At 42.0% G+C, this 13,816-nt stretch overlaps 1 protein-coding gene across 5 annotated transcripts in view; it reads left to right on the top strand.

The window, feature by feature from the left end:
• Positions 1-13,816, top strand: part of ATXN2 (ataxin 2) — a 147,460-nt gene that overhangs the window by 114,837 nt on the left and 18,807 nt on the right. The window lies entirely within an intron of this gene.

Here is a 13,816-nt window from a genome sequence, read left to right as displayed (position 1 = left end):
ATCACTTGAGCCCAGGAAGTAGAGGCTGCAGTGAGCTGTGATTATGCCACTGCCCTCCAGCCTGGGCGACAGAGTGAGACCCCGTCTCAAACATAAATACTGGCTGGGCATGGTGGCTTATGCCTGTAATCCCAGCACTTTGGGAGGCCGAGGTGGGTGTATCACCTGAGGTCAGTAGTTTGAGACCAGCCTGGCCAACATGGCGAAACCCCATCTCTACTAAAATACAAAAATTAGCCGGACATGGTGGCACCTGCCGCCTGTAATCCCAGCTACTAGGTGGGGCTGAGGCAGGAGAATTGCTTGAACCCGGGAGGCAGGGGTTGCAGTGAGCCAAGATCGTGCCACTGCACTTCAGCCTGGGCAACAGAGTGAGACTCCATCTCAAAACAAACAAACAAACAAAAAACAAACAAACAAAAAAACCAGACTAATTGGCTGGACACAGTGGCTCCATGCCTGATATCCCAGCTGGAGGATGACTTGAACCCATGAGTTCGAGAGCAGCATGGGCAATATAGTGAGACCCTATCTCAAAAAAAAAAAAAAAAGTTAATTCCAAAGCTTTTTGATCTGAAATCTGATTTAAATCTGAACTTAAATTTGAAGAAGAGGGTTTGCTAGATTAATTTACTAGATTGCTAACCTTGCTTTATATATACCTACAGTTATTTCCCCAAAGCCAGAATTTCTTTTGAAGCAGAGGGGCAACTAACTTCAACCAATGTTAAGATCCTATTAGAAGGATGTTTCGGCTAGGCTTGGTGGCTCACGTGTAATTCCAGCACTTTGAGAGGCTGAGGTGGGCAGATCACATGACCGGGAGTTTTAAGACCAGCCTGGGCAACATGGCAAAAACCTATCTCTGCAAAAAAAAAATAGAAATCTTAGCCAGCCGTCATGGTGTGCTCCTGTAGTCCTAGCTACTTGGGAGACTGAGGTGGGAGGATCAATTGAAACCAGAAGGTCCAGGCTGCAGGGAACTGTGACTGCACCACTGGGCTCCAGCTTGGGTGAAAGAGCGAAACCCTGCCTCAAAAAGAAAAATAAGATGGATGTTTCTGCATTAAAATTAGGGAGTTGTCGTATAATGTAGTTGCATAAACTAGTATTCTGTGCTTGTGTGGTTAAAGAGCCTTCGTAGAAAAAATCCCACATTTTTCTTAAAAGGAAATCTTTTGGCCAGGTGTGGTGGCTCACATCTGTAAGCCCAACACTCTGGGAAGCCGAGGTGGGCAGATCACTTGAGGTCAGGAGTACAAAACCATCCTGGCCAACATGGTGAAAACCCGTCTCTACTAAAAATACAAAGATCAGCTGGGCATGGTGGTGCGTGCCTGGGTGACAGAGCGAGACTCCGTCCAAAAAAAAAAAAAAAAAAAAAGAGTTCTTTTAATGTTGGAAAATGCTAAAGGGTTTTTTTTTTGCCAACCAGTTAATTTAGAGTGATTAACTGCTATCAGTTGAGAAACTATAGAAAGTAGAATAATTTATACAGAAAAGACATTTCTCAGTGCCCAATAATTGCCTTTCTGACATAAAGTTTTCATTTTTCCTGAATTAATAAGATTTCCTCAATGTGTTTTTTTGGGTGTTTTGTGTGTGTGTGTGTGTGTGTGTGTGTGTGTGTGTGTGTGTGTGTATGTGTTTGATACAGGGTCTTGCTTTGCTGCTGAGGCTGGAACGCAGTGGCGCTATCATGGCTCAATGCAGCCTTGACCTCCTGGGCTCAAGCGATCCTCCCTTCTCAGTCCCCTGGATAGCGGGGGCTACAGGTGCACACCACCACACCTAGCTAATTTTTGTATTTTTTGTAGAGATGGGTTTTGCCATGTTGCCTAGGCTGGTCTCAAACTCCTGGGCTCAAGCGATCTGCCTGGCTCTGCTTCCCAAAGTGCCTGCGCCCAGCCAATTTTCTCCATGTTTGACCTAATTGTGATTTCATAGATGTTAACTAAAACTCTTAATTTTCGTTTTCTCAGTATGCTATTTTTTTTTTTTTTAGCCTTGGAACATATGAACCTGTTGAAAGAACTCTGCCTGAAATAATGTAATCAAATTATAGAGTTTAATCTTATTTTGAGGGCCTTTAGAAATTCTGAGAAGAAAGTGGGTTTTTTTTTTTACTGCCATTTTAATGTAGTGTTAAGGTGTTCATGTATCACCAGCAGGTGTAGCTGTTTTCAATGATTACTTAAAACAATGCAATGGGAACTTTTTGTTGTCATTAAAATATAAAAGGTTACTGTAGTAAGAGCAAGCATGACAGTTTGGCTATCTGATGGGAGAGTCACATTCTAACTTCAGGAGGTACTGTCTTTTTAATAGAAATGATATACTCAGAGTCTGGGCACGGTGGCTCACGCCTGTAATCCAGCACTTTGGGAGGCCGAGGTGGGCAGATCACGAGGTCAGGAGATCAAGACCATCCTGGCTAATACAGTGAAACCGTGTCTCTACTAAAAATACAAACAATTAGCTGAGCGTGGTGGCAGGTGCCTATAGTCCCAGCTACTCGGGAGGCTGAGGCAGGAGAATGGCATGAACCTGGGAGGCAGAGCTGGCAGTGAGCTGAGATGGTGCCACTGCACTCCAGCCTGGGTGACAGAGCGAGACTCCGTCTCAAAAAAAAAAAAAAAAAAAAAATAGTAGAGAAAGGGCTTTGCCATGTTGGCCGGGCTGGTCTTGAACTCCTGGCCTCAAGTGATCCACCTCCCTCGGCCTCCCAAAGTGCTGGGATTACAGGTGTGAGCCACTGCTCCTGGCCTGAATATACCACTTTTACCTATCATCAGTTGATGAACATTTGGATTATTTCCTTTTTCTGGCAATGAGTAATGCTTTTGTGGATTTTCATGTACAAATTTTCATATGAGGCTGGGAGCAGTGGCTCATGCCTATAATCCCAGCAGTCTGGGAGGCTGAGGTGGGCAGATGACTTGAGGTCAGGAGTTTGAGACCAGCCTGGCCAACATGGTGAAATCCCATCTCTACTAAAAATACAAAAATTACACTGGCATGGTAGCGTGCACCTATAATCCCAGCTATTCAGGAGGCTGAGGCAGGAGCATCAGAATCGCTTGAACCTGGGAGGCGGAGGCTGCAGTGAGCTGAGATCACACCACTGCACCCCAGCCTGAGTGAAAGAGTGAGTCTCAAAAAATAAAAAATAAAATTTTTTTTCATGTGGCCTTAGATTTTCATTTCTCCTAAAGTAGAAATGCTGTGATGGAACTGCCAAACTTTTCCAAAGCAGCTGCATCATTTTGTATTTCTACCAGTAATGTACAAGTGTTCCAGTTTCTCCACATCCTCATAAATAACCGATATGTCTTTGGTTTGGGTTATGTCCATTCTAGTGGTTATGAAGTGTCATTGTGGTTTTTTGTTTTTTTGTATTGTTTTGAGATCGTGCCCAGGCTGGAGCACAGTGGCACAATCTCGGCTCACTGCAGCCTTCGCTTCCTGGGTTCAAGCAATTCTCCTGCCTCACCCTCCCAGATAGCTGGGGCTGCAGGCATACGCCACCACACCAGGCTAATTTTTATATTTTTTGTAGAGATGGAGCTTCTCCGTGCTTCCCAGGCTGGTCTCGAATTCCTGAGCTCAAGCGATCCCCCTGCGTCAGCCTCCAGAGTAGCTGGGGTTATAGGCGTGCACCACCGCGCTCGGCCCATTTTTGTATTTTTAGTAGAGATGGAATTTCACCATGTTGGCCAGGCTGGTCTTGAACTCCTGACCTCAAATGATCCGCCTGCCTCACCTTCCCAAAGTGCTGAGATTTTAGACGCGAACCACCATGCCCTGACTATAGGTTATCTTTTTACTTGCTTGATGGTGTTCTTTGTAACACAGTTTTTAATTTTGATGAAGTTCAATTTATCTGTTTGTTTTTTCTTTTGTTGCTGTTGCTCCTGATGTCATATCAGACAAAGCATTGCCTAACTCAAGGCCACAGAGATTTACTCCTATGAAACGCCTATAAAACTCCTATGATTTTTATAGTTTAGCTCTTAACATTTAAGTCTACAATCTCTTTTGAGTTAATTTTTGTGTATGAGATGAGAGTAGTGGTCCAGGTTTTTCCTTTTGCTTGTGGATATCCGTTGTCCCCACCTCATTTGTTGAAAAGACTATTCTTTCCTCTTAAATTGTTTGTTTGTTTATTTATTTTTGAGATGGAGTGTCGCTCTGATGGAGTGGCGCTAACTTAGCTTCACTGCAACCTCCGCCTCTCAGATTCAAGCGATTCCCCTGCCTCAGCCTCCTGAGTAGCTGGAATTACAGGGGTGCGCCACCACACCCAGCTAATTTTTGTATTTTTAGTAGAGACGGGGTTTTACCGTGTTGGTCAGGCTGGTCTCGAACTCCTGATCTCGTGATCTGCCTGTCTCCTGGCACCCTGGGAGGCTGAGAGGCTGAGGTGGGAGGATCACTTGAGCTCAGGAGTTTGAGACCAGCCTGTACCATTATGCCTGGCTAATTTTAGAATTTATCTTAAAGTATAAAATGTGAATCCAATTTATCTTGTTCTAAATGACTATCCAAAATGTTTTAACCAGTTTTATTAGTCTGTAATTTACATACAAGAAAATGCTCATCTTTTTATGTTTACATTTTAATGAGTTTTGACAAATATATTTGCTCATGTAACTACTTGCTTCATCAGTGAAGATGGAAAACATTGTGCCTGTTCCTCTTCTCTGTCCAACTGTACTTTATTACCACTAGCTCCAGTTAACCAGTAATCTGCCTTCTTTTACTATAGATTAGATTTATCCTCTTTAGATTTCTTTTTCTTTTTTTTTTTTTGATTAGGTTTTTTTTTTTCTTTTTTTACGTAAAAAAATCTTTTTTTGGAGACGTCTCATTATATTGCCCAGGTTGGTCTCGAACTCTTGAGCTCACCTCAGCCTCCCAGAGTGCTAGGATTACAGATGTGAGCCACCTCAGCCAGCCCCTAGATTTTTTTTTTTTTTTTAATAAATGGAATCAAACAGCGTGTAACAGAGGTGTTCAATCTTTTGGCTTCCCTGGGTCATATTGGAAGAAGAATTGTGTTGGGCCACACATAAAATACAGTAACACTAATGATAGCTGATGAACAAAACAAAAAAAAATAGCAAAACTTATAATGTTTTAAGAAAGTTTATGAATTTGTGTTGGGCCACATTCAAAGCCGTCCCAGGACGCAAGTTGGACAAGCTTGGTATATAATTTCATATGTGTGTCCTAAACAGTGTAGTAATTTGAATTTCATGTTAGTATCAGCTTATTCCTTTTTGTTTGTTTGTTTGTTTTTGAGATGGAGTCTTGTTCTGTGTCCCAGAATTGGTCTGCAATTCCACTGCCTCAGCCTCCCAAGTAGCTGGGATTACAGGCACGTGCCACCACACCTGGCTAATTTTTGTCTCTCTCTCTTTTTTTTTTTTTTTTTTTTTTTTTTAGCAGAGACGGGATTTCACCATGTTGGCCAGGCTGGTCTCAAACTCCTGACCCCAAATGATCCACCTGCCTTGGCCTCCCAAAGTGCTGGGATTACAGGTGTGAGTCACCGTGCCCAGCCAGCTTATTCCTTTTTATTGCTGGGTAGCATTTCATTTTATGATTATACCACAGTTAATTTACCCATTACTAGTCGATGGGCATTTGAGTTATTGCCAGCTTTTGGCTATTATGAATGAAGCTGCTGTGAGCATTTGTGTACAAGTGTTTGTGTTTTTATTTCTTTTAGTTAAATACCTAGAATTGGAATTGCTGAGGTATGGTAAGTGCATATTTCATTTTTTTAAAAAATTTATTTTATTTTTTATTTATTTATTTTTTTTGAGATGAAGTCTCACTCTGTTGCCCAGGCTGGAGTTCAGTGGCGTGATTTCAGCTCATGGCAACCTCCCTGTCCCGGGTTCAAGCAATTCTCCCGCCTCAGCCTCCCAAGTAGCTGGGATTACAGGCGCGCACCACCATGCCTGGCTAATTTTTTTGTATTTTTAGTAGAGACGGGGTTTCACCACGTTGGCCAGGCTGGTCTCGAACTCCTGACCACAAGTGATCCACCCGCCCCAGCCTCCCAAAGTGTTGGGATTACAGATGTGAGCCACCACACACTGCCTGGTAAATACATATTTCAATTAATAAGAAACTAGCAATCTTCTAAAGTGATTGTGTCATTTTACATTCCAACTGATCAGGTACATGTGTAGGTTCCATGTGTTCTGCATCCTTGCCAACACTTGGTATTGTGTTATCTTTTTAATTTCAACAGGTCTAATGGGTGTCTTATGGTATCTCATTGTGATCTTAAATGTACATTTCTCTGATGATGACTGATCCAGGAGCACCTCATCATGTGTGTGTTTGTTTTCAGCTGTCAACCTTTTTTTAGTAAATGGTTCAAATCTTTTTTCCATTTTATTTATTTATTTATTTATTTGATGGAATCTCACTCTATTGCCCAGGCTGGAACGCAGTGGTGCCATCTTGGCTCACTGCAACCTCCGCCTCCCAGGTTCAAGCAATTCTTACGCCTTAGCCTCCCAAGTAGCTGGGATTACAGGCATGCGCCACCATGCCTGGCTAATTTTGTATTTTTAGTGTAGGTGGGGTTTCACCATGTTGGTCATGCTGGTCTCTAACTCCTGACCTCAGGTGATCTACCTGCCTCGGCCTCCCAAAGTGCTGAGATTACAGGTGTGAGCCACTGCGCCTGTCCTAATAATTTCTTTTTGTCTCAATGTTTCTGCCTGGGTGCACTGGCTCACGCCTGTAATTCCAGCACTTTGGGAGGCCAACCTGGATGGATCATTTGAGCCAACAGTTTGAGACCAGCCTGAGGAACATGACAAAACCCTGTCTTTGCAAAAAAAAAAAAGAAAAAAGAAAAATTAGCCAGGCACAGAAGCGCATTCCTATGGTCCCAGCTACTTGGGGGGCTGAGGTGGGACAATCGCTTGAGCGAGGTTGCGGGGGTTTGGAGGGCGATGGAGGGGTGATCGAGGTTGCAGTGAGCTGAGATTGCACTACTGCACTCCAGCCTGGGCAATAGAGCCAGACCCTGTCTCACAAAAAAAAGAAAAAAAAGTCATGTTTCTTTTCTTACTGTGAAAATAAAGTTACTACTTTTAGTAAATTATTTTAAGTTATTTATATATTCTGGTTACAAGTCCTTTCTCAGAATATTGTGAATATTTTCTCCCAGTCTGCGGTTTTTTTTGAAGAGCCAGTATTGTTAATTTTAATGAAGCCTTATTTATCAAGCTTTTCTCTTAAGGTTCATGCTTTTTTGTATCATAATAAGAAATCTTTTACGTACCCTAGGTTATGAATGTTTTTATGGTTAGGTATATGGTTGATTTCAGGTTAGGTTTTGTGTAGGGTGTGATGTAAAGGTCTAGCTTCATTTTCTCCACCATAAATATTTACTCGGTTTCTCTGGCACCAGCCTCTGTTTTCCATTGGTGGCTTTATTTTTTTTCTGTTCTTGAAACAAGAGTCTCGATCTTGTTACCCAGGCTGGAGTGCAGTAGTGTGACCTTGGCTCACTGCAACCTCCACTTCCCAGGGTCAAGCGATTCTGCCTCAGCCTCTCGAGTAGCTAGGATTACAGGTGCCCGCCACTACACCCAGCTAATTTGTATTTTTTTTTTTTTTTTTTTTAGTAGAGACAGGGTCTCACCATGTTGGCCAGGCTAGTCTCGAACTCCTGACCTCAGGTGATCTGCTCATCTCAGCCTCCCAAAGTTCTGGGATTACAGGCATGAGCCACTGCGCCCAGCCATAGTAGCTTTATTGAATTCAGTTGACTGTATTGTATGTGTGTCTATTTGTGAACTGTTTTGTTGTATTGATCTTTGTATATATCCTTATGCCAATTCTCTCTTTATTGCTGTTACTTTGTAACCAACCTTTAAGTTCATATGAGTCTCCCAGTTTTATTCTCGTCAAAATTACTCTTATTCTGCGTTCTTTGAATTTGCAAATAAATTTTAGAATCAGCTTGGGATTGTGCACTGAATCTTTATATCAGTTCTGGGAGAAATATCTTAACAATATGGAATCTTCATTGAGGTCATCATATACTGCTCCATTTATTTAAGTCTTAAGTTTCACCAGTGTTTTCTAGTTTTCTTTGTATCAGTTTTGTGCCTGCTTTCTTAAATTTATCCCTTAATATTTCATCTGTTTTGTGCTGTTGTGAGTTATATTTTAAAAACTTTCAACGTTTGTTTATTCGTAAATAGAGATGCACTTGATTTTTGAATATTGACCTTGTGTCTTGATGTGTTGGTAAACCCACTGTTTCTGGCAGCCCTTTAAGACTTAAACATACAATCATGATCTAATCACCATGTTGGTGTTTTTGGGTTTTTTTTTTTTGTCTTATTGTACTGGTGCATTACTGAAAAAGGCATGAGATTTTGCCATGCTCCCATTTTTAGGGGTGAGACATTGTCTTTCACTATTAAGCATACAGTTAGGTGTTACTTCAGTTCCTAATTTGCAGAGGTGGGTTTGTTTTCTTTTTAATCATGAATGGTTGTTGGATTATGTTCAAATACTTATCATCTACTAAGTATATCATATTGACCAGGAACAGTGGCTCATACCTGTAACCTCAGAGCTTTGGGAGGCCAAGGCAGGAGGATCGCTTGAGGCCAGGAGTTCAAGACCAACCTGGGTGATGTAGGAAAACCCCATATCTACAAAACAATTTAAAAATTTGCTGGGTGTGGTGGCACACACCTGTAGTCCTAACTACTTGAGAGGCTGAGGAAGGAGAATTGCTTGAGCCCAGTAGTTTAAAGCAGCAGTGAGCTGTGATTGTACCACTGTACTCCAGCCTGGGTGACAGAAGGAGACCCTGTATTTAAAGTGTGTGTGTATGCGTGCGCATAGATGGATAGATAATAATGTAATTCCATTATGGTCATACAAACTGATATGAAATGCCATTTTATCATATAACAAGTGTCTTTTTGTGGTTGAATTTGTTTCTGGATTTTTCACTCTGCTTCACTAATCTAATAGGACTACCTTCTCATCCACTCACTGCCAACATTGATTTTTTTTTTCAGATTACCTTGAATTTTCTGTTTATTTTTCCATATGAACTCTATAATTAACTTACTACTAAAAAAATCAGTTGCCTTTTTAAAACCAACTGATCTTTAAAATATATCTTGGCTGGGCCCGGTGGCAGGCACCTGTAATTCTAGCTACTTGGGAGACTGAGGCAGAAGAATTGCTTGAACCCAGGAGGCGGAAGTTGTAGTTGAGTTGAGATTGCGCACCTGTACTCCAGCCTGGGTGACAGAGCAAGATTCCCTCTTAAAAAAAAAAAAAAAAAAAAGAAACAGAAAAGATAAATCTTTTTACAATAATTTGTTCCAATTAGGGTCCAAGTCAGGCTTGCAATTTGGATTTGTTTATATGTTGAAGTCTTTTTTTTTTTTTAATTGTTTCATATTGTGGTAACTTTTTTTTTTTTTTTTTGAGATGGAATCTTGGCTCTGTCACCTAGGCTGGAGTACAGTGGCACAATCTCAACTCACTGCAACCTCCCCCTCTGGGGTTCAAGCAATTCTCCTGCCTCAGCCTCCCAAGTAGCCCAGCCTTTTTTTTTTGAGACAGAGTCTCGCTCTGTTGCCCAGGCTGGAGTGCAGTGATGCGATCTCGGCTCACTGCAAGCTCCGCCTCTTGGGTTCATGCCATTCTCCTGCCTCAGCCTCCTGAGTAGCTGGGACTACATTCGCCCGCCACCACACCCGGCTAATTTTTTTGTATTTTTAGTAGAGACAGGGTTTCACCGTGTTAGCCAGGATGGTATCGATCTCCTGACCTCGTGATCCGCCCGCCTCGGCCTCCCAAAGTGCTGGGATTACAGGTGTGAGCCACTGCGCCCGGCCTTGTATTTTTAATAGAGATGGGGTTTCACCATGTTGGCCAGCCCGGTCTTGAACTCCTGACCTCAAATGATCCACCCGCCTCGGCCTCCCAAAGTGCTGGGATTACAGGTGTGAGCCATCGCTCTCAGCCTTGCGGTAACTTTTTATTACGAATGTATTGAGACATTAATAACCTAGGCCAGTCATGTTTCATCCCTACCCATTGTCTCTTAAAAGCTTTGAGTCCACTGGATTATTCTGAAGCAAATTCTAGACATTGCATCAGTTTATCCACCAACATTTTAGTGTGTATCTTTAAGTTGGTTTTGGTTTTGTTTTTTGTTTTTGAGATGGGGTCTGGCTTTGTTGCCCAGGCTTGGAGTGCAGTAGTGCAATCATAGCTCACTGCTGCTGCGAATTCCTGGTCTCAAAGGATCCTCCCTCCTCAGCCTCTCAAGTAACTGTGACTACAGGCACATGCCACCTTGCCAGCTTTTCTTTTCTTGTCTTGTCTTTCTTCTTCTTTGTTTTTTTGTTTGTTTTTTGTTTTTTTTTGAGACAGAGTCTCACCATCTTTCTATCTTGCCCAGGCTAGTCCTAAATTCCAGGGCTTAAGTTATCTTTCTACCTCAGCCTCCTAAAGTGCTAGGATTACAGGCCAGCACTTTAGGAGGTGCTGGATGAGCCATCACACCCAGCCAAGTCATAGGTTTTTTTGTTTGTTTGTTTTTTGAGACAGTGTCTAACTCTGTCACCCAAGCTGGAGTGCAGTGGCATGATTTCAGCTCAGTGCAGTCTCTACCAATTGGGCTTAGGTGGTCCTCCCACCTCAACCTCCCAAGTAGCTGGGACTAAAGGTGCGCGCCACCATACCTGGCTAATTTTTGTATTTTTTGTAGAGACAGGGTTTCGAATTCCTGAGCTCAAGCAGTCTGCCTGCCTTGACTCCCAAGGTGCCAGGATTACAGGCATGAGCCACTGCACTCAGCCCTCACAGTTTTAATTACAGTTTTTCCCTTAGTTTTTGTCTTGTTCATATCCAGCTTGTCTTGTATTTTTTTCCCACGATCTGAATTTTGCTGACTGTATCCCTGTGTTGATATTTAAAGTAGACTTCTGTCCCCTGTAATCTTTGTAAACTGATAGTAAATAATGAAGGCTTGATCAGATTGGGTTTTTTTTTTTTTTCCCCAATGTTTCACAGATGTGTGTACTTTCAGTGAGGAGTCATGTAATCAGTCTTTTTCCTGATAGGAGTAGTCAGTGAGTTCCTAGATGTTTTATCTATCCAGGAGATAATATGTCCCTTTAGCGCCTTAATTTTTTTGGTGTGTTTTTTAGCAGCCATTGATGATAATTGTCTAGCCCAAGATCAGTTATTTCCTTAGGGGTTGTAAAATGGTGACATTCTTTTCCTTTCATCCCTTCTTCAATTATTGCCTGGAATATTTCTATAAAGAAAAACTTTCCCATATCCAGCTGTTTGGTTACCCTGAGGTATAGCTTTCTTAGGAAAAGTAATTTAAAATGTTAATCATTTCCCTTTTTAAGGCAGTCTTCAAAATAATGAGTTGGTTTTCTGTTATCCTCCAAAGGTAACCAGTGAGGTGGTTTTTTTGTCGTTGGTTCTTACTATCAGTATAAACTTCTGGAATTTTTTTTTTTTTTTTAATTTTTTGGAGACAAGGTCTGGCTCTGTTACCTAGGCTGGAGTGCAGTGGGATGATCTGGGCATACTGCAGCCTCAACTTCCCGAGCTAAGGCAATCCCCCCACCTCAGCCTCCCAAGTAGCTGGGACTACAGGCAAGCACCACCGTGCCTGGCTTAATTTTTGTATATTTTGCAGAGACAGGGTTTCACCATGTTGCCCAGGCTGGTGTCGAACTCCTGAGCTCAAGCAGTCTGCCTGTGTCAGCCTCACAAAGTGGTGGGACTACAGGCATGAGCCACCATGGCAGGCCAGAATCACAATAAACTTATAAATTAACTTGAGAAGAAATGATTGATGTCTTCATGATGTTGAGTCTTCCTGTTCAAGAACAAAGTATACCTTCAATAGCATATTAAAGTTTATCCTTGGCTGGATGCAGTGGCTGACGCCTGTAATCCCACCTCTTTGGGAGGCAGAGGTGGGCAGATCACCTGAGGTCTGGAGTTCGAGACCAGCCTGGCCAACATGGTGAAACCCCGTCTCTACTAAAAATATTTTAAAAAAAGTATTAGCTGGGTGTGGTGTGCACCTGTAGTCCCAGCTACTCTGGAGGCTGAGGTAGGAGAATCGCTTGAACCCAGGAGGCAGAGAGTGCAGTGAGTCAAGATTGCACCACTGCACTCCAGCTTGGGCAACCGAGCGACACTCTGTCTCAAAGAAAATAAATAAATAAAAATAAAGTTTATCTTTAAGGTTTTGTACATTTTTTTCAGTGTATGCCTTAGGTAGGTTCTTTTTTAATGTTAGTGTAACCCAGGGACTTCTCTTCCATTGCATCTTCTAAGTAATTACTTATGAAGTACCATATATGAAGGCTATTGCTGTTTATATGTTAGTTTTTACCCTGCTCCTTTACTAAATTCCAATCCTTTGAGGTATTGGATAAAAATATTTTTAGCATTTTTCAAATAACAGGCAGAGTCAAGGGCTTGGTTTCTTTTCTTCCCCTCCTGTCCCCTACCCTCCCCTTTTTTGAGACAGGGTCTCACTTCTTCGCCGAGGCTGGAGTGCAGTGGTGCAGTTACGGCTTACCGCGGCATCTGCCTCCCTGGCTGAAAAGTTCCTCCCACCTCAGCCTCCTGAGTAGCTGGGACCATAGATGCACAGCACCGCAGCTGGCTAATATTTTTGTATTTTTTGTGGAGGCAGTGTCTCCCCATGTTGCCCAGGGTGGTCCCAAACTCATGAGCTCAAGCAGTCCGCTCGCCCTGGCCTCCTAAAGTGTAGGGATTATAAGCGTGAGCCACTGCGCCTGGCCTGGGGATCATGTTTTAACATGAGAATTAGTGGAGACAAACACATGATATCTAAATAATAGCACCATAGTATACTTGACTAGCTTTTTAATTATTTTTTAAATATACAGGAAGGTAATAAGTAACAAAGTAATAATAGTGAATAGTTTAAGCTCAGTTAGCATAATCGGGCAAACTTTCATTTGATAAAAGTGATAAGTAGTTTTCAGTGGCTTTTTTGTTTACCAGAAGGAGGTGGTTTTTAAATACGTGCATCCAAGATAAAATATAAAAAAATGTTCAGGTTTGCTTTCCTACATAGATAAAATAATATGTAACTAGCTCTCCCAAATTTCAGCAACAGTTAGTGAATGTTTAGCCACAAATTTGCAGTTAATTATATAATCAGTTCTTAGGATTTTATGAACAAGTTCTATATTCTTTGTGCCTTATACCTAGTTGTAAGCAGTCATTCCACAATTATTTTCCTGAAGTGGCTTGGTTAATGCCACACCAGAAACAGGTCACAGACAATAGTGCTGTAAGAAATGTGTGAGGAAAGAGGCACATGGGAAGTAGCTAGCTCGTGCTGGAGGAACTGGAAAAAAACCTCACATGGGAGATGACAGTTGAGCTGAATTCTTAACTAGAGTTGTAACAGGGCGAGGCCCTTACATGCAGACCACCTGTGTGGATTAAGATAAGACATAAAGTAATCTTTTAAAAGAACTATTATTTAGAAACCTGGTATATGCTACATGGTGCTGTGTTATACTGGGTTTGAGAAAGAATGGGAAGTGTTACAAGGATTCAGTGGTTGGAAATTAAGGAAGATAGAAAGTTAGTGTTGGATCTGTTTTGGCTCTTTGGTCATGCCTTTGTTTTTCTCAAAATGAATGCAGTGCCCGTCCCAGAAAATACCATATGAGAAGCGATTTCATAATGCTGTGAGAGTCTGTTACAGGGACTTGATCAAGTCTGAGGG

The sequence above is a fragment of the Homo sapiens genome, chromosome 12 (assembly GCF_000001405.40).
Source record: "Homo sapiens chromosome 12, GRCh38.p14 Primary Assembly".
NCBI lineage: Eukaryota > Metazoa > Chordata > Mammalia > Primates > Hominidae > Homo > Homo sapiens.
This window is presented reverse-complemented; position numbering and strand designations above follow the sequence as displayed.